Below are 26,075 nucleotides of genomic sequence, written 5' to 3' on the forward strand. Positions count from 1 at the left end.
TTTACAGGAATCCTGAGGTCAGCATCATCCCAATTTCACAGAGTATGACATGACGTCTCAGAGAGGGTAAGCAGCTTGCCAAACATTCCACAGCCAGGAAGCTGTAGGACCAGCCTGTGCTCCTAAGGACTGGCTCCTGGCTGCTATATATAGAACTAAGCCTGGTGGAGGTGTCAGAAATAGAGGTTCACTTCTGTCATCACCGACCTCCCTCCACACCTTTGCAAAGGAGGAAACTGAGAGGCAGGGATTTCCGCAGAGCAAGGAACCCAAATTGCTGCCTCCTGTGATTTATACACTGCACCCCAAGCTGTAGGGGTAACCCAAGGACAAAGCTGTAACCCAAGCGGGAACATATGCCCCATCTGGGGCCACCAAAATCTTACCAGCTTCCTCAGCTGGTGGATCGGTTAATTCACGGCCACAGCCCCCTGGAGCTGGGGGAAAGGAAAACCAGGGCGTCTCCGCAAACCAGCCCAGAGAGAGGTCTGCGGAAGGGCCCGGAAGCCTGCAGGCCCCTCTGCACCCCCAACCCCACCGCCATCCTGGACCTCCAAGATGACCTGGTCCAACAGAGTCCTGCATGGAAAAGACTGGAACCCAGGGAGGAGCAGAGCCCCGCCCAAGGTCACCGGCCGAGCCTGAATAGAACCCGGTTCTCCAGGAGCCCTGTCTTTAGCTGTCTTGTCCAAATAAAATTTTTCAGGCCATCAGATTTCCGTACTCCCTGGAGTGGGACTTCATCTGGGACCAAAGGAGGGCTGGTGAGGGGAGTGGCAGGAGGGAGGAGTGCCTCGGGGCCCCGAGCAGGATGAGCCTGAGGAAGAGACGGGTCCCCATGTTCCCTTTCCCGCTCAGATAATGGAGGTGAATTGAGGGGAGCAGAGACCTCCCCACCTTCAGGGTGGGACCCTGAGGGACCAGGACACCTTTGCTAGGGGATGTCCCTCCTCACTCCTGCACAAGTTCCTCAAGGACACCCTCGGGCTCCGAAAACGGGGGGAGGGGGACGACGCCCCAGAGGCCCCTGAGCCCCTGGTTCTTCCCGACCCTAAGGGCTTTTCTCCCTCGGTTCCCAGGCGGCGACGGCGGGTAGCGCGAAGCAGCAGGCGCAGGGGCGCTGGGATGGGGATGTCTCTGCAGGTCTAAGGTTCCCCTTGGGAGTCTAAACAAAGACTACGGCAGCGCCGTCCCCTCCCCCGGGAACCCGACGCCGCGCGGCCACAGGGGGCCTGGAGGGGCGGGCAGGGCCTCGCAGCGCACCCAGCACAGTCCGCGCGGCGGAGCGGGTGAGAAGTCGGCGGGGGCGCGGATCGACCGGGGTGTCCCCCAGGCTCCGCGTCGCGGTCCCCGCTCGCCCTCCCGCCCGCCCACCGGGCACCCCAGCCGCGCAGAAGGCGGAAGCCACGCGCGAGGGACCGCGGTCCGTCCGGGACTAGCCCCAGGCCCGGCACCGCCCCGCGGGCCGAGCGCCCACACCCGCCAAACCCACGCGGGCACGCCCCCGCGGCGCACCGCCCCCAGCCCGGCCTCCGCCCCTGCAGCCGCGGGCACGCGGAGGGGCTCCTGGCTGCCCGCACCTGCACCCGCGCGTCGGCGGCGCCGAAGCCCCGCTCCCCGCCTGCGCGTCTGTCTCGTCCGCATCTCCGCGGTGAGTCGGCGGCGCCCTCGCCCCTGAGCCCAGGGCCAGCTTCTCTCGCCGCCGCGGCTGCTGCGCGCGTCCCCGCCCAGCCCAGCCCAGCCCCGAGCACGACCCCAGCCCCACGCACGACCCTAGCCCCGCGAGTCCCGCACCGACTCGCTCCCGCCCCATTTCGCCTCCGCGGGGGCGGCGCCCCCTCCTCCCCGCGGCTCCCGCTCTCCTTCCTCGCCTTCCCGGCCGCGCTGGGGACCCCCAGCCGCCGTCCGCGACCCCCCACCGCGACGCCCGGAGGCGGCGGGGTCTCTTTGTTCGGGCGGCGGGCACGGGGGACCACCTCCCACGGTGTCACCGCACCCACCCCGCGCCCTTCCTCCGCCTCCTGGAGTTCACCGGGACCAGGTGGCGGCGGGTGCCTTTTTGGGGGTGCGCGGCCATGCAATTGGTGGATTTTTTTAAACCGTTTTGGAGGGGGGAGCGCGGCGTTGGGGGCGGGAGAGCGCTCCTGGCTGTGAGCTGCTCCTGCCGCTTCGCTCCGCGCTCTCCTGCCGCTCCGCTCCGGGTCTCCCGCGCTCCTCTCCCCGGCTCGGCCGAGCGCGCTGCCCCGACGCCGCCACCCAGAGCCGGGCCGCGCCGGGCGCCGAGATGAAGGTGCTGGGACACCGGCTGGAGCTGCTCACAGGTACCGCCCGCCTGCCCCGCAGCCGGCCGCCACTTTCCGAGTTGGAGCGGACTCCGGGCGCGGCGGCCGGGGACTGGGGCGGCTCGGGTCTGAGCAGGAAGGGGTGCGGACCCCAACTAAGTCCTAGTTTTGTGCTACCTGTTTGTGTGCGGAGCCCAGCCCCGGGAGAGGACTTGAGGTTGTGGCGAGTCCCTGGCGCTGGCGTCCGGGCTGCGGGAGCACCGGTCAGGGGGTGGCCCCATGGGGTCTCTGACCAGCGGAGCTCGGATTAGGACCCTGAAAGCTAGCTCAGGGCTCCTGCCCTCCAATCAGTGTCGCTTGTCCCCTAAGAAAGGACCCGTGGGCTTCTGGCAGGACCCGCGCCATGGACCTCTTATTTCTGCGCCCTGTGACAATCTGAGCCGTCTTTCTCTGGGGGAGAAGTTTCTTGCTGGGAGTGGAGGCGACGCCAAGTGGCCTGGGAAGTGGGAAGCCAGATTGGACCCTACTGACTGGGGACCCTCAGCCTTGGGGCTCCTCTGGAGAAGTGATCAGTTGCCCTGCTGGAAACTCACATCCAGGGGGCAGTGGCTGGAGAGCAAGAGCGAACGGTCAGGAAGAGGAGGTGGGAAAGGGAGCAGGGACGGGGGGGAGGATTCGAGGAGTGACTTCTGTGTTCTCCCCGGTGTGGAGAGACCCAGACAGGAGGAAAGGAAAGCAACCCGGTTTCCTCCAGCTCTGGGACTTATAGGTGCTCCATCCGTGTATGTCAGATGAGCACAGATTCCAGTAAGTGTCCTCCGACACCTGGGGGAGGGGGCTGATCACTGCCTTCCAGGACCTTAATGTCCGATGAGGGAGCAGAGCCCCGGAGCCCTGTTACAAGGCTGGAAGGGGCAGCCGTCTGTGGGTGCGCTCAGGAAACGGTGGAATCCGAGTCGGGGGCAGCTTTTGAAGACCTCGAAAAACAATTTTTGTTAATGAAGAAGGAGGTGGCATTATGGGTTCAGGATCAAGGGAATGGCCCATGCTCTGGGGTGTGAGAGAGGCTTGTTCGGGGAGAGGTATGGAGGCTGAATGGCCTGGAATGTGCGTGTGTGTTGCGGGGGAGGGGGCTAGAAGGTGGGGGTGGGGTACGTTGGGTGAGGTTTTATTAAATCGGCAGTAGCAGGCCAGGCGCAGTGGCTCATGCCTGTAATCCCAGCACTTTGTGAGGCTGAGGCCAGAGGATCGCTTAAGGCCAGGAGTTCAAGACCAGCCTGGGTAACATAGCGAGACCCCATCTTTACAAAAAAATAAATAAATAAATCAGCAATAGCTCGTGACAGACTTGTAGAGAAGGAAAGGTGGAAGCTGTTCCTGGGACACTGGAAACTGACTGGGTGCTCAGAAGTTCCAGCGCTGAGCCCAGTTAGCCACGGGGCTGGCACCCCCTCCAATCCCTTGCCAACTTTTTCTTTGTGGAGCTCACTTGAGGCAGGCCCAGCTCACCCAACTTGGAAGGGAACCGCGCAGGCCACTGAACTTGTTAACCCCCTGGAGGGAAGGCTTGCGGTTCCATGGGTGTTTTGTTTGTTTGTTTTGTTTTGAGATGGAGTCCCACTCTGTCGCCCAGGCTGGAGTGCAGTGGCACAGTCTCGGCTCCCTGCAGCGTCCGTCTCCCAGGATCAAGGGATTCTCGTGCCTCAGCTTCTCAAGTAGCTGGGATTACAGGCACGCGCCACCATGCATGCCTAATTTTTGTATTCTTAGTAGAGATGGGTTTCGCCATGTTGGCCAGGCTGGTCTCGAACTTCTGACCTCAAGTGATCCACCTGCCCCTGCCTCCTAAAGTGCTGGGATTACAGGCGTGAGCCACCGCACCCAGCCCCCACCATGGGTTTTTAGAGCTCTGCATGGTGAACAGATCTCCTGGTTCCTCTCTTCCCCAACTCTTCCTGCCCCCAAAGGGCCTGGATGAGAAATGCTCACAGGAGACATGTGTGGGGGGCTCAAGCAGGGGTCTAGGCTTTGGAGACCCCATGCACTGTTCTCTCATCTCCTGGATAGAGGAGTCAGGACCCCTCTTCCCCCACCAGATGGGGTCACCAGATTCTGGCGGGCTTTCTAAGTCCCTGGCCAGGGTGGATGAGGCCCCTCTCAGTTACTGTCATCAGTCACAGGCTCCGCCCCCATTGTACCTGCAACCTGGCCCTGGGAGACAACCCATCCCCTCTGTTGCTATTTTGTGGTCTTCACAGACTTCCCTCTCTGTCCTCTTCCTTTTCTCACAGATCGGGATTCTAACTCCAACCCCATCAGTAGCCAGCTGTGTGACTTCAGACAGGTTGCTTAACCTCTCAGACTTCAGCCCTCTCATCTTAAAGATGGAACTGTTGGCCCCTGTCTCTAAGAGATGGTGTAAGGCTTGCTGAGATAGTGTAGGCGACACACGTGGTTGGGACCTAGACCCTGGTGGGCACCTCTTGGGCCCCACCTGTCCTGGCTGGTTGGCACCTAGAGCATTTGGATCTGCCCCCACCCTCCTTTATCCCTGCTTTCCTGCGTCTGTGAGATTTGACCCATCTCCCCCATTGGATAACAAGCAGGTCACAGTCCGGGAGGTGGCCACTTTATTGTGGTGGCACACAGCAAATGCTCAAGGGTTGCTGACTGAGGCTAGGCTCACACAGCCCACTCGGCATCTACGTCTCTAGGATAATTCTGTAGAGGCCTCTAACTCCCTGCCCCGACATCAGCCTTAGGAAATTTTTACTGAATTTTAAAAACTCATATTGAAGGCTGGGCACAGTGGCTCACACCTGTAATTCCAGCACTTTGGGAGGCCAAGGCAGGCAGATCACTGAGGTCAGGAGTTCAAGACCAGCCTGGCCAACGTGGTGAAACCCCCATCTCTACTAAAAATACAAAATCAGCTGGGTGTGGTGGCGCACGCCTGTAGTCCCAGCTACTTGGGAGGCTAAGGCAGGAGAATCACTTGGACCTGGGAGAGGGAGGTTGCAGTGGGCCAAGATTGCACCACTGCAGTCCAGCCTACGCAACAGAGCAAGACTCTGTCTCAAAAAAAAAAAATTGATTTAGTTCTGTATACTTTTCACATTCTCCTATTTTATTATCTTGCCTGTCTTGCCAGTGAAGTCAGTGACTTCCTCATGTTCCTATTTCTCAGAAGAGGCAGCACTGGATTCAGAACCCAGCCCTGAGCCGGGAGTTGTCCCATATGGCATTCTAACTGCCTGGCTTTGGGACAGTCTAATAGCCGTTCCACACTTCATTTTCCTCATCTGTAAAATGGGATCGTCGTGGTGCCTACCTGGCTGGGATCTTTGGAGATTAGGTGTGTGAGCGTGTGCAAGACGTCGAGTGCAGCTTCTGGCGGGCGGATAGTTGATGACAGTCGTGGAGCTGGCGTCCTCAGGCCGCCTCCCGAGTGCACTCCATCACTGTGCTGGGGGCTCCTTCTCCTCCCACTGTGCTCCAGTTTCCAGATTCCCTCCCCGCAGGGTGTTCCAGTTCCTTCGTTGGGTTCTCACAACAGTCCAGGCCTCTCTGAGCTGTGTCTCTGGGGGACCCTACTTAGGTCTCAGGTTCCTGTGAGTCAGGCATGGCCTCAGGGGGTGGGGCCCTTCCAGCCAGACACCCACAGCTCTGACATCATGGGGAAGGCCAGGTGCCCCCTCACATGTGGGACTAGAAGGAGACCCATGGGTTGTCATGCCCAGATCCAGCATGTCTTTTTGTTCTGGAGAGAAGAGGAGGCTGTTGGGGTCCTTCTGGAGGCTTTGTAAATCATGAATGCTTGTCGAGGCCATTTCCAGGCGCCTCAGCGGGGTCTTGCTGCAACAGGGACAAGGAAGGCGGGGGTTTTGGAATCAGAGGATGTGAATTTCGGGGTCTCCCCTGTGCTTCTCAGCTCCTGGGCAAATTGTTACCTTCTTTCGGCCTCAGTCTTATCAGTAAAATGGGAATAATAGCCCTCATTAACAGTGTTAGGCCAGAGCAGTTGTCTCACGCCTGTAATCCCAGTACTTTGGGAGGCCCAGATGGGTGGATCACCTGAGGTCAGGAGTTCTAGACCAGCCTGGTCAACATGGCGAAACCCCGTCTCTACCAAAAATACAAAAATGAACCGGGCTTGGTGGTGTGTGCCTGTAGTCCCAGCTACTGGGGAGGCTGAGGCAGGAGAATTGCTTGAACCTGAGATTAGGAGGTTGCAGTGAGCTGAGATTGCACCACTGCCCTCCAGCCTGGGCAACAGAGCGAGTCTCAAAAATATATATATTGTGGGGAGCCAAGATGATACTTGTGAGGGAGCCCAAGACACCGTCACACCTGCACACGAGCTCATTACAATTCTCAGAGGGCAGATTCCTGGTGCCTTCGGTAGCCGGATGATTTTTTTATTTTTTAGTGTGATATGTGAAAGTGGGACACTGGTCTTTTTGCAAGTAGGAAGGCAGTTGTTTCTGCGCATTGGCACTCGAGCAATATGTTCCAAAACGGTTCAGAGTCAGAGCTCTAAAATGGCAGATTTGGGCTCTGAAATGGTCCCTGGGGAGCCTCAGTAGTGGATCTTGGAAATTTTTAAAAATATACTTGATGTGTGATTGAGAAACAAAAGTTTTACCAGTTGTTTAGAATTTTGGTTTCATTTGAATACATGGAATATCTAGCCCCAGTCAATTTTATAGATGATTTTAGTGTTTGTTGGCAGATGTGTTGACCCACATTTTACATACGGAGGAAACTGAGGCATAGGTTTGCCCTAGGAGGCTGAAAGCAGGACCCTGGATCCTCATTTCCAGTTCATCTGCTTCTCCGCTTCACTGGGGTGCTGTGATGTTGATGTGGGGGCACGTACATGGTTTAGTAAGGAAGCGTGGTCCCTTGGAGGAGAGGAGAGACATGAGGGTCATTGGGTGTGCTCAGGGAGGGTGGGTGTGGGGAGAGGGGCGTGCTGTTCCTCTGGGTAGAGGATTATAAAGGGCAAGTTGGCAATGATGTATCAATAGCTTAAAAATATGTGTGATCTCTGACTCAGCAGTTGAATTTTTAGGAACAAATAAAGATGTGTGCAAAGGTGTTTGTTCAAGGATAGTTATCCCTTCATTGTTTATAGAAGCAAAAAAGCAAAAAAAACCCAAAAAACTGGAAACAACCTAAATGCGTAACAGTAGAGCAGCAGTGCATTCATACCAGAGAACCCCAGGTAGCTACGAATTATACTGCCAAAGGTTATTTATCCATCTGAACAGATATCCCCTTAAATAGTGTAATACTAATGGTGATGACAGCTCACACGTATATGGCATTTGCTGTGCGCCAGACATAGTCTTAACCACATGCTATATGTTAACTCATCATCATAACAGCCCTAGGAGGTATGTGCTATCATTTCTTCTTTTTTACAAATAGGTAAACTGAGGCACAGATAGGTTAAGTAACTTGCCAAAGAGCACACAGATGGTGAGTGGCTGGCTGGAATTTAAACCAGAATGTCTTGACTCCAGAGTCCAACAGATGTTTCAAAACATATTTTTTGTTGGTTTGTGTTAGAAACATTTTCTTTCAGTGTCTAGATGAGCATTGGAAAATGAATAAAAGGGTATACACAACACATTAACAGTGGCTTCTTCTGTTAACAGGATTGCATGTGGTTTTTACTTTCTTCTTTTTGGTCTTCTGTTTTTCTCACTTTTCTCAGTGAATGTGTCTTATAAGAAATTCAAATTCTGTTTTTAAAAACAAAAAAATTCTCTTCTGAAGGCTAATTTTTTAAAAAAACTAAAAATTAATGCAAAGCACTAGATGCTGACAAAAACCAATCCTGTGGGAATTCTGAAGATGAGCTGGAGTCCAGTGGACAGAGAGGAAAAGGCCAGGAGGAGGAGTGGTTCAAGGTGGATGTGAAGTTGGCTTTCCTTGAAGTCTAAGGAGGAGGAACCAGCAAAGTGAAAAATAGAGGCAAAGGTGGAGCCATGGGAACCTTGGAAGGAGGCTGTGTTGGGCTGAATAATAGCCCCCAAAGATATCCTAATCACTAGAACCTGTAAATGTTACCTGATGTGGCAAAAGAGATTTTGTAGTCATGATTGGGGATCTTGAGTTGGAGCTGTTTTGCAGAATTATCCAGTGGGCTGTAAGTGCAACCACATGTGTTTTTATAAGAGGGAAGCAGGGCTGGGTGCGGTGGCTCACACCTGTAATCCCAGCACTTTGGGAGGCTGATGCAGGTGGATCACCTGAGGTCAGGAGTTCAAGACTGGCCTGGCCAACATGGCAAAACCCCATCTCTGCTAAAAATACAAAAATTAGCCAGGCATGTTGGTGCGTGCCTGTAATCCCAGCTATGAAGGGGGCTGAGGCAGGAGGATCGCTTGAACCTGGGAGGCAGAGGTTGCAGTGAGCTGAGATTGTGCCACTGCATTCTAGCCTGAGCAACAGAGCAAGACACCATCTCCAAAAAAAAAAAAAAAAAAAAGAGGGAAGCAGGGGATATTCAAAAACAGAAGAACAGGTGATATGATTGCTTCAGCAAGAAGCTCTGTTGTTGGACTTGGAAGGTGGAGGAAGGGGCTACCAGCCAAGGAATGCAGCTCTGGAAGCTGGAAAAGGCAGGGGAACAGATTCTTCCCAGAACCCCCAGAGGGAGACAGCTTACCAACATGTTAATTTCAGCCCAGAGAAATTGATTTTGAACATCTGACCTCCAGAACTATAAGAGAATGAATGTGTGTTGCTTTTTTTTTTTTTTTTTTTTTTTTTTGGAGACAGGGTCGTACTCTGTTGTCCAGGCTGGAGGGCAGTGTGGCATGACCTCGGCGTGAATGTGTGCTGCTTTAAGCCACCAATTTTGTGGTGATTTATTATAGCAGCCACAGGAAACCAGCAGGGGTGTGTGCAGATCACACTCAGGCCTCGGCCTGCACTGAGAACAGCACGGTGGGTTGGAGTCTGCCAGCCTCGTTCTGATCACTCTGGCTGTGTGACCTTGAACTGAGCCTGGCTTTGCCCCCAGGGTAGTTGCGGGATCAGCTGGGAGAGCACCATGACACTGTTATATAAACTGAAGAGCATCACACAAACCTAAGTGGGATGAGCACTTCCACCCAGCCTAGCATAAACCTGGTCTCACAGAGCCAGGAAAGCTGTCATCATACACCACCCCCTCCCTGCCTCTTAATCCTCAGTGCTTTAGCTTCCAAACCACAGGTGGAATGTATCGCCAGCCAGAGTGATCAGGTGTCTTAAGCCCCATAACAAATAACCCTGGGGACCTAGATGCTGCTTCAGTTCACCTGTTGGCGGGGGTGGTCGGGCAGGTGCTGTGTGCCTGCTGATAGGTCCCACCCTAGGCAGTGAGCTGGGGAAGGTGGGACCCCAGCCTCTTTGGAGGGGACAGAGGGAATATTTCTGGGATGTCTTCTCCCCAGAGTGTGTGAGTGTGTGTGTGTGAGAGAGAGCAGGGAGTGGAAGAGTCCCATAACCAAGTCCAGGGTTTGCAGTCCCTAGGATCATACCCTGTGCACCCCAAATTGTTTCCTGACAGCTCTAGGGGTGCCAGAAATGGCTTTTAACAATATTGGCCACTTGGTGTTCTGGAGGATAAATGTGCTGTTGGGGCCTGGGCTCTGGGATAGGGAGAGGGAAGCCAGCAGGCTCCCCTTTAAGTTTTTGGAAGAGCTCCCGCACCAGCCTTTGCCTCATCCATAAAGGAAGTGCACTCAGCCTACTGCTCCCAAAGCCCTTACCAGCTGCAGAGTATTCACTCTGTGCTTGGCCTATGTGGACGGAGCAGAGGAGCAGTTGTCAGAGATGACCCAGAGGTCCCTTGCAACCCACAACCTAAGGTGAGCACCCAGGAGGATGACCAGGGTGGCCTGGGGGTGCTTTTCCCCATCACAGCTTAGGGTCCATCTCTGAAAGTGCCTGGGTTGGGAAAGGCCGAATTACCCTGGAGTAGAGCATGGTGTTGCCATTCGAGTGTGGTGGGAAAGGCCTGCTGTCAAGCACGTAGGGCCCTCTGACCCCGCACTGGGGCCCGGCTGCCTGTGTGTGATTGCCAAAGGGAGAGGCGGGATGCTGGCTTCACCCGACCCCCTGGGACCATGCAGGAGAGAATAACTTAGAAGTTACGTTAGGTCTCTTGGGTGCAAGTGACAGAAACCGAACTCAGACTGATACAAAGAGAGGAAGATGGGGTGTCCCTGGCCAGCACAGTGGACACAGGGCCATCGGCCTCTGTCTCTCTCTCCCTCATTCCTACTAGTTTGGTTCTCTGGATTGGTTGAGCTCTAAGTCAGGCCCTTCCTCGCAAGGGCAGTGTGGTTGCTGGCTCACAGACCGTCCTCCTGAAAACCCCATTGCTGGGGAAGAGCTTCCCCTCTCCAAGGATTCCAGTAAAGGCCTTCGAGACCGGGCCCAGGGCTCGGTCCACTTGGTTTCCAGGCCACCCAACCCCTCTGTCTCCTGCCTCAGTGGCTTCTCATTGGCTTTGCTGCTTTATCCTCATTGTCTTCTTCTGGGGCTCAGTGCTGGGACATCTTCTTCCCTGTCCTCATTCACTCCCTAGATGACCTCATCTAGTCTCTCTATGATGATATCTTTGAAGTGACTCCTCCCAAGGTTCTGAAGTACAAATTGTTTTCTAAAAACTGTATTATGTATTATCCTTCCCTCTGTTCCTTCTCCTCCTTCCTCCCTTTCTCTTCCCTTCATTTCTTTCTTTAGAAAGACAGGGTCTTACTTTGTTGCCCAGGCTGGAGTACAGTTGCCTGATCACAGCTCACTGCAGCCTTGACCTCCTGGGCTCAAGCGATCCTCACGCCTCAGCCCCCGCCCCTAAGTAGCTGAGAACACAGGCATATATCACCACACCCAGCTGACTTTTAAATTTTTGTGGAGACAGGGTCTCACTATGTTGCCCAGGCTGGTCTTAAACTCCTGGGCTCAAGTAATCCTCCCACCTTGGCCTCCCAAAGTGCTGGGATTACAGGCCTGAGCCACCGTGCTAACCTGAAGCACAAACTCTTACATCCACCTGCCCACGGGGAGCTCCACCTGGCTCAGGTCTAAAACCACACCCCTCATCTTTCCCCCAAACCTTTTCTCAAGGTCTTCCCTAAATCATAAATGATAGCTCTATCCTTCCATAGCTCCACCAAGTCACCCTAACTTCTCTCTTCCTCTCCTGCCCATGTCTGATGGATCCGTGAGTCCCCCTAGCTTTACCTTCAGAACATACCCAGAAGCTGAGGACTTCAGCCACCTCCTGCACTCCCGCTGTGTGGCAAGCCAGCAGCACCTCAATAACTGGTCTCCCCATTTCCACCCTAACCCCCAGCTCTGTTCTGCACATTGCAGAAGGAGGGATCCTTCATGATGAAAACTGTATCACATCAGCCCCCTGCTCAAAACCCTCCAGTGCATGTTTATACTCAGAGTAAAAGCCAGTTTCCCTAACAACCTTCAGGGCTGAACGGGACCAGCACTCCAACGCTTACCACCCCTGTCCTCATCTCCTCCCCTCCTGGCTCACTCTGCTCCAGCCACCCTGGTTTTTTCACTTTTCTTTTCTTTCCCTTTTTTTTTTTTTTTTTTTTTTTTTTGAGAGAGAATCTCTCTCTGTTACCCAGGCTGGAGTCCAGTGGCGTAATCTCAGCTCACTGCAACCTCTGCCTCCCAGGTTCAAGTGATTCTCCTGCCTCAGCCTCCCAAGTAGCTGGGATTACAGGTGTGCACCACACACCACACACCCGGCTAACTTTTGTATTTTTAGTAGAGACGGGGTTTCACCATGTTGGCCAGGCTGGTCTCGAACTCCTGGCCTCAAGCCGTGCACCTGCCTTAGCCTCCCAAAGTGCTGGGATTACAGGCGTGAGCTGGCTTCCTTTCATTTGCTTGCCTGACCGGCTTCCTTTCGTTTGCTCAAACATGCAGGCGCCTGCCTCCTGGCCTTTGCGCTTGCTGTTCCCCCTGCCCTGAGTGCCCTTCCCGGACATCCCAACGCTCGCTCCTGGATCTCCTTCAAGTCTTGCTTGCCTCCCCTTCTCAGCAGGTGGCTTCTCACTCTTACCACCCTGTTTCACATCCCTCTCTCTCCCCTCCTGTGAAGCTGCTTCCTGCATTGCTTAGGTCGTCTGACACTCTGTGAATTTACTTAGGTTTGTTGATTTTTTGCCTCCCCTCCAGCACCCAGAAAGCTCCCGAAGGTAGATATGTTTGTCTGTAATGGTCAGTATTTTATCTCCAGTCCTAGAACACAGTAGGTGCCAAATCAGTATCTGGTGAATGAATAAATGACTTAGGCCTGGGCCACTCCTGGGGTATGGACATTCGGGCCCAAACCACATGTACTGAGAATGGGGAAGGGAGGTTTCCCAAAAGGAAACCCAGTGCTGTTAGGAGAAAGGACCTTGGTGTCAGGTGGGGACCAATGCAGGTAGCCCCTTCTGCAGACATTGCATTTGAGGCAGGAAAGCTCTGGGAGTTGCTTGGAACAGAGTCCCTCTCTGCCAGATGAATGTCATTCCTCAAATGCTAATAAATTAGGCATTTCAGAGAAGTAAGGGGCTTTCCGTGACAAAAATGCCCAGTAAGAAAGATGCCCCTCGGGCTCTCTCTTTACTGGAGACTGTATTGCAGACTCCTGTGCCAGAGAAGTTTCATTGACTCAGTTTACCTGTTTGAATCTTGCACAAAGATCCAGGATATGTGTATCTGGGAAATTTGCCAGCTTGGGCAAAGATACACAGCTGAATTGAGTGAGGCACCCGTGTAAAAGAAATGCGAGAATTCGTGACAAAAAGTGCCAGTTGCTTTTAACCTTTTAATGTAGGTCATGGTTACCCATGTCAGTATAATTATTGTGAGCTTGTGAGGTGTGGGTTAGGAGGGGCTGGCTCACTGGTTTAAACTGCCAGAAGAGAATGGCATCATGGATTATGCTGCCTGCTGGAGAGAGGAAGTTGCAGGTTTGCTCTAGCATTTCCCTGTTTTTCTCTGGGAAAGCCCCACCCTTTCCTTTTTCCTTGATTTCCTTTAGCACGATAGGGTGGGTCTCCAAGAAAAATATCCCAAGTTTAGATTAGCTTCAGCTGTGTGTAACAGAAAACCCATGGTAATAATAAGTAAGATAAAAGTATTTTTTTCTCTCTCATAACCAGGATCTCAAAATAGAGGATTCCCAAATCATGGCTTCATGATTCTCAGGTACCTTGACTCTTTATTTCTATATCACTACTATGCCACCTTTAGAATCCTGCCTTTGAGCCTAAAATGGCTGTTCAAGCTCCTGCCATCACATCTGTATTCCAGCCAGGAGGCAGGAGGAAGAGTCAAAGAATGGCATGTCTCCCCTTTTTTTTTTCAGACAGAGTCTCACTCTGTTGCCCAGGCTGGAGTGCAGTGGCACAATCTTGGCACACTGCAACTTCTGCCTCCCAGGTTCAAGTGATTCTCCTGCCTCAGCCTCCCAAATAGCTGGGGTTACAGGTGCTGGCCACCACACCTGGGTAATTTTTGTATTTTTAACAGAGATGGGGTTTTGCCATGTTGGCCAGGCTGGTCTTGAACTCCTGACCTCAAGTGATCCACCTGCCTCGGCCTCCCCAAGTGCTGGGATTACAGGCATGAGCCACTGCGCCCAGCCATGTCTCCCCTTTTAAGAACACTGCCTGAAAGTAACATGCTTCCATTTACCTCGCACTGGCAGAACATCACGTCATCATAAACAAATTTTATTCCCATCATCCACCTACTCATCTAAAATATGGGGATTATTATTAAGGAAGAAGGGGAGAACAGATATGGGGGGATAATTAGCAGTCTCTGCTGCAGTAGGACTCTTTCACTGGTTCCCTATAGAAGCTGCCTAAATGGAATGTGTTATTGGAATTCTAGTTCCATCTGGCCTTGCCCTTGGTCTTAGAATTAGAGGCCTGTTGTGTCTATTGTAATGTCCGTGCTTAACACCTGGAGCCATGTTGTGTAGAGAAGCAGAGTTTACACGTTGGTGCTGTACATCACCTTCTTACTTTATGAAAGCGCTGTGTTATGTCCTTTCTAAGATGCACCTTTTTTTTCATACTTTAACATCTCTAAGATTGGGATGCATCATACAGTCTCTGTTGGCAAGGGGGGCCTCATGCTGTTACTGCCATCACATGAACATCAGAATTTGCGAGTGGATGTCAGCAGCTCAGAAGGAAATCCCAGAGATAGTAGTAGAGCATCCTTGATGCTGGAGAAGCCCAGGCTGTGTGGAATAGCACAGCATTAAAAACTCCATGATAGAGAGATTAAGAGACATTGGACTCGAAATGTGAAAAGGAATACCTTAAACAATTTATTTCAATTATATTTTCCTTTTTAAAAATTTACAAAAGTGATAGATGCTTTTTTAAAATCTGGATCTAATATATTCTAAAAGAGTTCTTTCAGTAAGTACAAAAAAACCCCTGAATGACAGGAACTCATCATAAGGGTAGCAGTTCTGACACTACTTTATATGTATCCCAGGAATGAACAAATAAGCAAAAATATTATGGATGAGAGCCAGGTTTCTCACCACTGGAGAAAAACAATTGCAATCAAACGGGGGAAGCTAGAATGCACTCTGTGGTGTTGAATTAGAGTTAAAGGGATCAGTATAAATTCCAGATTCCATATATATGATATATATGTGATATATATATGTGTGATATATATATATGTGATATATATATATATATGTATGTGTGTGTGTTAGTGTCTTGCATACATTTCATAGCTCTGCCTGCTAAGAGGGCCTAGACCAATGACACCCCAGTAGCAATGAGCACACCTGGTGTCCAGATCTTGATTTCTAAACGTCATTCTCCAATAAAGGGAACTAGGTCTCCTTGGAGAAATGGTTGATTTCATGGTTGAGGCAGAGAAAGTACAAGATGAGTTTAGAACATGTAATGAGGCTAGAATATTTGAAACTCAAAAAATAATGGGTACATGTTGAAAGCACAAAAGAGCCACCTTAAGGGAACTCCCAATGGCCAAGCCTGGCCCAGTTTGAACAATGAAACAAATAATGATAGCAATGGCTTTTAACCCACAGGGTAAAATAAATATCCATGAGTCCTTATTGATATAAATAAGTAATTGAATAAAGGAGGAAAAAGGACAACTCTTTCTTACAGGATAATTCCAATAAGTGTAGAAGAGATTATGGAAATAGAAAATTATCTTCTTTTCCTCAGCAGGAAAAAAAAAAAGAAAATTATCATTAGGCAACCACCAAAGTAATAATTGCTGTAGGCAAGAATCAATAGTTGTTAAAATTAGCAGGGGTAAGGGGGGTGGAGGGGGTGGGGAAGTATGATGAGACATAGGATGTTTACATAGTGTCAAAGTATCTTCCCACACTGCTTACAAAGGGAAAAATAGTAACATTTCAGTGGAGAAACCTGGCAGAGAGCTCCTTATCAAGGGATCAAGGTTAACGTCCTCTGTAATAAGACAGATTGACATCATGTGCCTGCTGATACAAACTGAGAAGGGCACCTCCTTCTGTCGTATTCTTGCCAAAAATGTATAACCTCAGTCTAATCATGAGAAAACAACAGACAAACCCAAAGCGAGGACATTCTACTGACTAACTGGCCAGTACTCTTCAAAAGTGTCAAGGTTGGCCGGGTGTGGTGGCTCACGCCTGTAATCCCAGCACTTTGAGAGGCCAAGGTGGATGGATCACGAGGTCAGGGGTTTGAGACCAGCCTGGCCAACACGGTGAAACCCTGTTTCTACTAAAAATTCAAAACTTAGCCAGGCATGGTGGCGGGCACCTGTAATCCCAGCTACTTGGGAGGCTGAGGCAGGAGAATCACTTGAACGTGGGAGGCAGAGGTTGCAGTGAGCCGAGATCGCGCCATTGCACTCCAGCCTGGGCGACAATATGAGACTCCATCTAAAAAAAAAAAAAAAGTGTCAAGGTTATAAAAGATGGGCTGATAAACTGTCCCATTTGGAGAAGGCCAAGGAGGACATACCAACTAAATACGATGTGGCATCCTGGGTTGGGTCCTAGACCCAAAAAAGGCATTATTAGGAAAGCTGGTAAAATATATGTACGTTCTGTATATTACTTAACAGTATGTATCAGTGTTTAATTTCCTGGTTTCTCTAATTGTATTATGGTTCTGTAGCATGATAACATTGGGGGAAGCTGAGTGAAGGGTATGTGGGAAATGTCTGTGTTTCTGTGCTTTTTTGTTTTTTGTTTTTTTTTTTTGTAATTTTTTTGTAAGCCTAAATATTTTTCAAAATAAGTTAAAAGGGGGGAAAGTATTATGTCTTCATTTAACTGGCAGTGGTTTTTTTTTCTTATTGATACATAAAAATTAGTGTCACTTGTAATCAGTGATATCTTAGATTTGATAAAATCTGGTGTATAGGATTAAAAAAAGAATCTCCCTTTTATACCCTTCTAAACCCATATCCTTCCTCAGAGAGAAGCATTGTTACAGTTTACCCTGAATCATTTGAGGATTTTTTTTTGGAAGTTGCCAATATATGTACCTGTTCAATGCATATAATTTTTACATAAATGAGATTATTATTATTATTTTGAGACAGAATCTCACTGTGTTGCCCAGGCTGGAGTGCAATGGCGTGATCTCGGCTCACTGCAATCTTCGCCTCCCAAGTTCAAGCAACTCTCCTGCCTCGGCCTCCCAAAGTGCTGGGATTACAGGTGTAAGCCACTGTGCCCAGCCATAAATGGAATTATTTTTACACATTATTTGGTGACATGCCTTTTTTTCTTAATTGCATATTTTAGAATGCTTTCCCACTCTGTTTGAGTGGAGCTGCCTTGTTTATTTAATGGCTGCATGGTACTCCAGGGTGCAGATGTTCCATAATTTATTTCACCATCCTCCTGGTGCTCACTGAGGTGGTTTCCAGATTGTACTCCTCCACTCGGCTGTGCAGTGAGCACCCTTGTGTACTGCCTCTTAGTGCACACATGGGTGTTTTTCTTTAGGATAAATACCTGGACACAGAATTGCAGAACTGACAGATATTTGCATTTAACAGACTACCAAGTTGTTCTCCAAATAAAGTTGAACCCACTGCCATCCAGCCAGCAGCATGAGTGTGTGCCCACTTTCCCAGAACCTCACCAACCTTGCACATTATCAGTCTTTTAGTAAGTTGTGGTCTGTGTGAAGAATGATTCATTCGTTCATTTACTTACATGATTGAACAGAAATGTTGAGTGTCTGCCCTGTGCCCAGCACTGTCATAGACACAGGGAACATCCGAGCGAACAAAACAGATGTAGTTCTTGTCCCCTAGGAGTGTCTGAGGAGCAATGGTCTGAGCAGGTCATGTTGCTCATTGTTTCACGTGCATTTCTCTGACGGCCAGTGAGGCAGAGCAGATGCTTTTCCTGTGTTGTTTCTTCTCTGAATTCCTATTCCAGACCTTCGCCCACTTTTCCATTGAGTGCATAGTATTTTCTTTCTCCTTATTGAGCCCTAGAATGGGAGTGCTACTAAGTCTGTCCCCTTTAGGGGATTTCGGCAAACCTGGTGGGGAGACTGGAGACACAGGTAGGATTTGAGAGGAAGGAGGGAGCCCAGACCAACCTGTAGGAGGTGGGGAATGTGCAGAGGCTGCATCTGCCCCTCCGATTTTTTGTTTGTTTGTTTGTTTTTGAGACGGAGTCTTGCTCTGTCACCCAGGCTGGAGTACAGTGGCACGATCTAGGCTCACTGCAACCTCTGCCTTCCAGGTTCAAGCAATTCTCTTGCCTCAGCCTTCTGAGTAGCTGGGATTACAGGTGCCTGCCACCACGCCCGGCTAATTTTTGAATTTTTAGTAGAAACAGGGTTTCACCATGTTGGCCAGGCTGGTCTCAAACTCCTGACCTCAAGTGATCTGCCTGCCTTGGCCTCCCAAAGTGCTGGGATTACAGGCGTGAGCCACCGCACCCGGCCCTGCCCCCTCCAAGTTTTGTGGCCAAACTCACTGACCTGGAAGCCTCTTGACAGCCAGCCCTGTCAAACAGCCTTGTACCAGAGTGGCCTCACCACCTTGGTGGTGTGCATTTGAATACTGCTTTATGCCTATAACTGACATTGGAACAGTGGCATTTGAGCAACAAAAATGTTTATCCTGTGCTTTCCTATGGCTTCTGTGGACAGGTCAGCCGTGGAGATTTCTGGCCTGTCCTCCATCCATTTTACCAGTTATTAAGCCTTTGTGTGTTTGGACTCTGATAGGGTTGGACAAATGAACAAGATCAGGTCGCTGTCCTCTGGGAGATGACAGTAGGGAGATTAAACCACTCATCCATGCATCAGTGGGTTAGCAAGATGATAGAGTCCCAGCCTGGCCAACATGGTGAAACCCCATTACTACTAAAAGTACAAAAATTAGCTGGGCGTGGTGGCAGAAGCCTGTAATCCCAGCTATGTTGGGAGGCTGAGGCACAAGAATTACTTGAACTCAGAAGGCGGAGGTTGCAATGAGCTGAGATCGTGCCACTGCATTCCAGCCTGGGCGACAGAGTGAGACTCTGTCTTAAAAAAAAAAAAAAAAAGATGATAGAGTCCACACATGAGCATATGAGCTCCAGACCTGGACATCATGGGTTCAAATCCAGGTTCCATCACTTACCAGTCGTAATACCTTGGGCTGGTTATGTCACCTGTGTATGCCTCACTTCCTCAGCTACAAAATGAGGACAATAATAGTACCTACCTCCATGAGGAGTTAGGAGGACTAAATGAGCTTATACATGTAAAATGCCTGGAACATAGCATTCATTAATATTAAGGATTGTTTTTCATATTGCTCCCATTGTAGGGATATGATGGGGAAAGGCACTCTAGGCAGAGGGAACAGCATGAAGAAAGGCATGTGCTTCCCATGGGGAGGATGCGCCTACTGAGTCAGCCCGGGTCTTTAGCCAGGAGTGCCAGAATCCAAATATGGCTGCCTAAGACAGTGGGAATGTGCTGGGGGTGCGTGCGTGTGTGTGTGCGCGCGCATGCAGGGTGGTGGTGTGGTTGGTGAGGGCATAGGGATTCACAGGCTCAACCCAAGGAAAAAGCAGAACTGGTCAAGTTCAAGTTTGACATAAATCAAGGAGCCATACCTAGATATGGAGCCTGGGCTGGAGAAATAATGTCCCTTGCATCCTCCTGTCCTGCCACCCACCCGGGGAGGCGGAATGCATGTAGGCGGGTGGAAGCATGCACTCTGGGTCCCCTCCTGGGTTGGCCACAGGAGGACTTGCACCAGTCAGTTGCTCCTTCCTGTGCCTCTTATTTCTCATCCGTGAACTGGGAATCCTGAGGGAAGATTGAGCCCCCATCCCTGCCCCACCCTCAGTGCTGTCCCAGGCCTAGGAGATCAGGATAAGGACAGGGAGAGAAATAAGAGGGTCCAGTTCCCTGGACAGTTCCAGACCCCCTATATAGTGCAGTTGGAAGGTGATTCCCCAATTTCCGGGGTCCCAGATTTCTGGGGCTTCTTTTCCAACCAGGCACTGGTGTAGCGTCGGGTAGGGTGGTGGCCCATGTATCACTGAGCACCAACTCTGATCCAAGCAGTAGGGATACACCAGGCCCACGGCGCCTGGGTGCAGAGGCCTGGACATGAGTCACATGCTCCCACTCGGCCACATCATTCCTTTTCCATGTTACGGACCCCTCCCCCAGGGTAGAGCTGGCTAGGCCTGGGTATGGCTCATTTCATTTGCCTGTGGCATTTCTCATAATAATGGGACCTTATAACTCAGGAGTGTGGCATACTCAAGGCAGTGTGGACCGGACCTTGACCCTGACCTGTGGGTCCCCTTCACCCCTGTGGTTGAAGGAACACCAGCCATTCCACAGTTCTACCTCTTTTCTTGTTTGGCCTCTTCCTGTCCCGCAGGCCTGTTTCCTCTGTCTGGCTTCTCCTGAGCCCTCTAACTTCACTCCATTTAAGTCTTGCCCTCTTCTCTTTCAGTTCTAGCGTTTCTCACTGTGCAGCTGTGGGGGGTAGAGTGGGGAGTGATCCTTCATGTGTAGCACTGTCCCCACATCGCATGACCCTTCTCACCCGTGGTCCCTGGGCACTGAATGTAGGACCCCCAGTCACTGAGACCACCCAAATTCTCCGATGTATTTTCATTTTTTTTCTCCTCTTCTCTTCTCTTTTTCCTTCCTTCCTTCTCTCTTTTCTCTCTTTCCATCCCTCCCTTCCTTCCTCCCTCCCTTCCTTCCTCCCTCCCTCCTTTCCTTCCTCCCTCCCTCCCTCCCTTCCTTCCTCCCTCCCTTCCTTCTTTCCTTCCTTCCTTTTTTCCTTCCTTCTCTCTCTCTCTTTCTTTCTCTCTTTCTTTCTTTTGACAGAGTCTTGCTATGTCACCCAGTGGAGTGCAGCTCACTGCAACCTCCACCTCCCGGGCTCAAGTAATTCTCCTGCCTCAGCCTCCCAAGTAGTTGGATTACAGGCACCCGCCATCACGTGAGCTCAGCTAATTTTTGAATTTTTAGTAGAGACAGGGTTTCGCCATGTTGGCCAGGCTGGTCTCGAACTCCTGGCTTCAAGTGATCCACCTGCCTTGGCCTCCCAAAGTGCTGGGATTACAGGTGTGAGCCACCGTGCCCAGCCCCCCAGTGTATTTTCAAACACCCCCACCATCTCCTACCACTGCTGAATTTGTTCTCCCGATTCAGCAATTGCTTTTTTCTGTAGGATGTATAACTACTACTGATCAATTTAAGCATTTATGGGATAGTTCCAGGAATGATCACAGTCATGGCTTCTATTTTTAACCCTAATAATCAGAGGGTTCGCCTGGCCGGGGTCTCAGCATGGAATCACAGTTACAGAAGCATAGTGGGAGGGGCCTGCTGGCTGCATGGTGGGAGCTGAGTGCTCCTGTTTGCCTTTAAAAAAAAAAGAAGAAGGAGAAAAGGAGAAAAAACACAAATCAGCAACCAGAAGTAATTAAACTGAAATGCAATTCCTCTTAAGGAATCCATGCCACTAACACAGCGCAGGAGCCCATTTCCACACTCCCCGGTGCTCTTTTGCCCTTGAGGGGCCTCTTACATGTCTCTGTCCCCCAGCCAAAGGGGCTGTTTCCTCTCCCTCATCCCCTGTACCATCCCTCCCCTATGTACATCAGCTTAGCCCCTCTGCGTGCAGCTATGAATCTATCCTCTAACAGAAACAAGAGGAAAAACACAAAAAACTCCAAAGTTATCTTAAATCGGCAGGGAAAGGCAAGGAACACACTGATCACCTATGTGATTTTTGTTCCATTCAAATATGTACAAAAATCTTTCATTTAAAAGGCATTTTAGGCTGGGCATGGTGGCTTACGCCAGTAATCCCAGTGCTTTGGGAGGCTGAGGTAGGAGGATTGCTTGAGCCCAGGAGTTTGCGACCAGCCTGGCCAACATAGTAAGACCCCATCTCTACAAAAAATGAAAAGAAAAAATAGTCGGGCTCTGGTGGCACACACCTGTGGTCCCAGCTACTTGGGAGGCTGAGGTGGGAGGATCACTTGAGTCCAGGAGTTCGAGGCTGCTGTGAGCCATGATTGTGCCACTGCACTCCAGCCTAGAGTTTGCTTAGAGCAGAGCCAGGGTTTGTTTTGACCAAGACCCTGTCTCTGAACAAACAAAAAAGGTCATTTTTACACTTTGGGAGGCTAAGGCAGGTGGATCACCTGAGGTCAAGAGTTCAAGACCAACCTGACCAACATGGTAAAACCTCATTTCTACTAAAAATACAAAAAAAATTAGCCAGGCGTGGTGGCAGGTGCCTGTAATCCCAACTACTTGGGAGGATGAAGCAGGAGAATCACTTGAACCCAGGAGGCAGAGGCTGCAGTGAGCTGAGATCGCGCCACTGCACTCCAGCCTGGGCGACAGAGTAAGAATCCGTCTAAAAAAAAATTTATATATTTATTGTTTCTATTGTACCTCAGACTTCTCTGAGGTGGGCAACATGCTCTCATATTGCAAATAAGTGAGGCTTTGAGTGATTTGCTCAAAATAAAGCAAGCTGTTGAATGATAGAGGAGAAATGCCAGCCTGGTTGCAGTGGCTCCAGGCCTTACCCCTGAGAAGTAGAAGCATTTGGATTTATCCCAGGCCCATTTGGTGTGTACAGCTTCTGTCTGCCCAGGCCCAGGTCCCTGCACACGCGTCTCCTGGGAGAGCTCTTGTCTGCACCAGGAGCTGGGCAGGGCGGCTCCTGTCCCTTTAGGGAATAAGAGATCAAGAAGTGGAAAAGCATGATGGAAGGGAAAGAGCCATTGCTGGCCACTTCATAGACCCTGGCGTTCGCCCACCTCTGTGCTACTTAACTCCTTGGAGACCTTAGCCAGGCTTCATTAGTAGGACTCTCATTTTCTTATAACTTATCACACAGCTTCTTAAAAAAAATCATAACTTACTTTTTTTTTTTTTTTTTTTGATGGAGTCTCGCTTTGTCCCCAGGCTGGAGTACAGTGGCGCAATCTCGGCTCACTGCAAGCTCTGCCTCCCAGGTTCACGCCATTCTCCTGCCTCAGCCTCCCGAGTAGCTGGGACTACAGGCACCCACCACCATGCCCAGCTAATTTTTTTGTATTTTTAGTAGAGACGGGGTTTCACCAGGTTAGCCAGACTGGTCTCTTAACTCCTGACCTCGTGATCCACCTGCCTTGGCCTCCCAAAGTGCTGAGATTACAGGCATGAGCCACCACGCCCGGCCCATAACTTTCTTTAGAAGAAACTTCTCTGCCACCGTGCTGTGGAAATGTCTGCTCTGGCGTCTTTCTTGTGGAGCCCCACAACTCCAGCCAAGCCCTGGACTGTCTGTTTTTCATGGGCTGAGACATTCCCGGTTCTCTGGATGATGAGGTCTCTCTCTGCCCCCTTCCCCGCCACCACCTCCGTCACAGGCCATCTGTCCCTGCACTGCCCACTCTCAGCCCTTTTAATAGCATGGGCCTTGGGGAGGATGGTGTCCAGGGTGGTTTCATAACAGGCCGGGGGAGGGGGGCTACAGGGATACCCCAGGGCTACTAAGGGGTTTAATTGAGATGGGTGTTCAGGAAGGCAGGTGGCTAAAATGTCCTGATGCGGAAGAGTTTTCCAAGGAGGGGACCCCTCTTTCAGCTCTCCCAGCCCCCACACCCTGGATGGATGGGTGAGTGTGCACACATCTGAAAGGATGGAAATGGGAGCGGGAGAGCCTTGAGGATGCCTTTCTAAAAATACAGCCCATCTGCATTGTGTTAGCTGGTTTCCTCGGAAACCACTGGGAGCCGGGACTCCAGCATGGCACGTGCACAGGGACCCAGGCCTGCTTTTTCATTTATTGTAACAGGAATTTTCCCATTATATTAAATAATATTTTATTATTGACACACAGTTTATCTTGTACCCTATTGATGGACATTTTCTTCCAATTTTTTTCTGTGTTATAAATGGCACTGTGGTAAGAATTCTTATAGATAAATTATTTGTTGCCATCTCTGGTTTCCTTAGGCAATTTCTCCACGGGAGAGGATTGCTGAGTCTGAGAGTATGAACCTTTTAAATAGTTTTAATTCATTTGTAAAACTGCCCTCCAGAAAGATATGTCCATTTATATACTTACAAGCCATATAAGAAGGTGCCTGTTTCAGTGCACCTTCGCTAGCGGTGTAAACTTTGCCAATGCCATTGGCAAAAAAAGAAAGAGCTATCCATTCATTCATTCATTTGAGACACGGTCTTGCTCTGTCACTCAGGCTGGAGTGCAGTGGTGCAATCATAGCTCCCTGTAGCCTTGAACTCCTGGTCTCAAGTGATCCTCCCACCTCAGCCTCCTGAGTAGCTGGGACCACAGGCTCTCACCACCACACCCAGCTACTTTATTTTTTTCGTAGAGATGGGGCCTTGCTATGTTGTCCAGGTTGGTCCTGAACCTCTGGGCTCAAGCACTCCTCCGGCCTCAGCCTCTCAAAATGCTGGGATTATAGGCATGAGCCACTGTGCCTGGCCAAAAAAAAAAAAAGTATCTTAATTTAAATTTCTTTGACTTCTAGTGAGCTTGAATATTTTTCCATGTATGTACTGGCCAATTTAAATTCTTTTATGAATTTCTAGATTATGTCCTTGGCTAGTTTTTCTCTTGGTGCATTCTGACCTCTGCCATCCTGAAGTTGAGGGATGGTGGTGCCATTCCTAGAGGAATTGTGGGGTCCTGGGACCCTCTGTCTTCCTTCCCTCACCACTGGCTCCTACACACACACACACACACACACACACACACACACACACACACACACACACGCCTGCATGTATGACCCATTCTTCCTCTGAGGTTCAGAAACCCCTGGGGTTTCCCAGCAATTAGGGCCCGGGCCCACCCTCTGGCAGCTGAGCAGCCCCTGTGTATCACCCCTCCCTGTTGGTGGCCTGAACTGAGACCTGCACCCCCTCTTTCAACATCACTCGGCCTGCCACACCACCAGGGCCTCTACTCCCACCCACCCCTCCCTGGCCCATCTTCACAGAGGCTTGTCCTGGGAGCCCTCTGGGGAGCTCTCAGCTCTGTTCCTCTCCAGTCTCTCTATCCTCCAGAACCCCACTGTCCCCTTCAGACACCAGAGGCCCTCGGCAGGGGACTTCTGTCTGCGTCTGACCCTGTGTTTGGCCTCCCTGCACGTGCCCTTCTGTTTCTCAATAAAGGCAGAATGTTGCATGTAATTGTTTTAGGAATCATGACGTTGCTTTTCTGTTTTATTTGGAAACGTTTTAATTTTTAAGAGCAAATAATAGGCTGGGCATGGTGGCTCACACCTGAAATCTCAACACTTTGGGAGACCAAGACGGGTGGATCACTTGAGGTCAGGAGTTTGAGACCAGGCTGACCACCATGGTGAAACCCCGTCTTTACTAAAAAACACAAAAATTAGCAAGGTGGTGGTGTGCACCTGTAATCCCAGCTACTTGGGAGGCTGAGGAAGGAGAATCACTTGAACTCAGGAGGCGAAGGTTGCAGCGAGCCAAGATTACGCCACTGCACTCCAGCCTGGGTGACAGAGTGAGACTCCGTGTAAAAAAAAAAAAAAGAAAAACGGAAAAACAAATACTATAATGGTATCCCCCAAGCCAGACAGGCGGGTCTTGCAGACGGAGGCCTGGGGGCCCTAAGTGCCTGAGTGGGCTGCGCTTGGGGGCCAGGGGGACAGTGCATCTGGTTTCCGCGCTCCCGCCCCAGCCCCGACTTGCGCTGTCCTTCTCCGCCCGGGCGTCCCCGCCGCAGCAGGCCTCAACCTCGCCCTCCCTCCCTAGGCCTCCTGCTCCACGACGTGACCATGGCCGGGCTGCAGGAGCTGCGATTCCCTGAGGAGAAGCCGCTGCTCCGGGGCCAGGACGCCACCGAGCTGGTGAGTTGGAGTCGCGCCTTTGAGGTCTTAGGGCCGAGCGCGCCACCTCGTGGCCAAGAGGGAGACCGCGTGCCTTTCCTGCAGCCGACCCTCCCTAGGGCCAGCCACACCGAGAAGCCCTGTCCCTGCCTGTGGGGGGAGTTCCGGCAGGCCTGAGTGCCACCCAGACCCAGCCAGCCTCACGGTGGCTTCAGCCGTCTTTGAGGCTAAAGGCGCCACAGGAGAGTTATCCCGGCTTTAATGACGAGAAAACCGAGGCACAGAGAGGTGAACCCAGTTGGCCAAGGTCACACAGCTAGTGGGGAATGAGGCCATATCAACCCCTGTTTCTGGACAGCCCAGGAGCCCCAAGTGCTGGCTCCAGCAGGGCA

The 26,075-nt window shown here is 51.0% G+C and overlaps 1 protein-coding gene and 1 long non-coding RNA gene across 27 annotated transcripts in view, besides 3 other annotated features; both read left to right on the forward strand.

Annotated features, from left to right (window-relative positions):
- LINC02137 (long intergenic non-protein coding RNA 2137) overlaps positions 1 to 715 on the forward strand; it is a 41,536-nt gene extending 40,821 nt beyond the window's left edge. Inside the window, exon 4 of the long non-coding RNA NR_187253.1 lies at positions 8 to 715. This is a non-coding gene — a long non-coding RNA (long intergenic non-protein coding RNA 2137). The remainder of the gene's footprint in view (positions 1 to 7) is intronic.
- The window catches only part of NDRG4 (NDRG family member 4), a 51,673-nt gene continuing 27,166 nt past the window's right edge, over positions 1,569 to 26,075 (forward strand). For 7 of the 26 annotated variants that reach the window (NM_001378332.1, NM_001378334.1, NM_001363869.2 and 4 more), the window contains exons 1-2: positions 2,136 to 2,321; positions 25,610 to 25,704. In NM_001378332.1, coding sequence (NP_001365261.1) covers positions 2,285 to 2,321; positions 25,610 to 25,704 — 132 coding nt within the window. In that variant the 5' untranslated portion in view covers positions 2,136 to 2,284. Of the gene's footprint in view, positions 1,652 to 2,135; positions 2,322 to 2,654; positions 2,926 to 2,963; positions 3,090 to 13,465; positions 13,512 to 25,609; positions 25,705 to 26,075 lie in introns of those variants that run through there. The other 19 variants (XM_017023583.3, XM_011523290.4, NM_001378340.1 and 16 more) reach the window with 4 other exon arrangements.
- Positions 25,425 to 25,776: a silencer, noted in NCBI's record as "fragment chr16:58521475-58521826 (GRCh37/hg19 assembly coordinates)". NCBI's record gives its function as "represses an EF-1alpha promoter that drives an FKBP-Casp9 reporter gene in an ReSE screen in K562 erythroleukemia cells {active_cell/tissue: K562}" and the evidence as "EXISTENCE:reporter gene assay evidence [ECO:0000049][PMID:32094911]".
- Positions 25,425 to 25,845: a biological region, named in NCBI's record as "ReSE screen-validated silencer GRCh37_chr16:58521475-58521826".
- Positions 25,686 to 25,845: an enhancer, noted in NCBI's record as "active region_10927". NCBI's record gives its function as "activates an Ori minimal core promoter by ATAC-STARR-seq in GM12878 lymphoblastoid cells {active_cell/tissue: GM12878}" and the evidence as "EXISTENCE:reporter gene assay evidence [ECO:0000049][PMID:35858748]".

The sequence above is a fragment of the Homo sapiens genome, chromosome 16 (assembly GCF_000001405.40).
Source record: "Homo sapiens chromosome 16, GRCh38.p14 Primary Assembly".
NCBI lineage: Eukaryota > Metazoa > Chordata > Mammalia > Primates > Hominidae > Homo > Homo sapiens.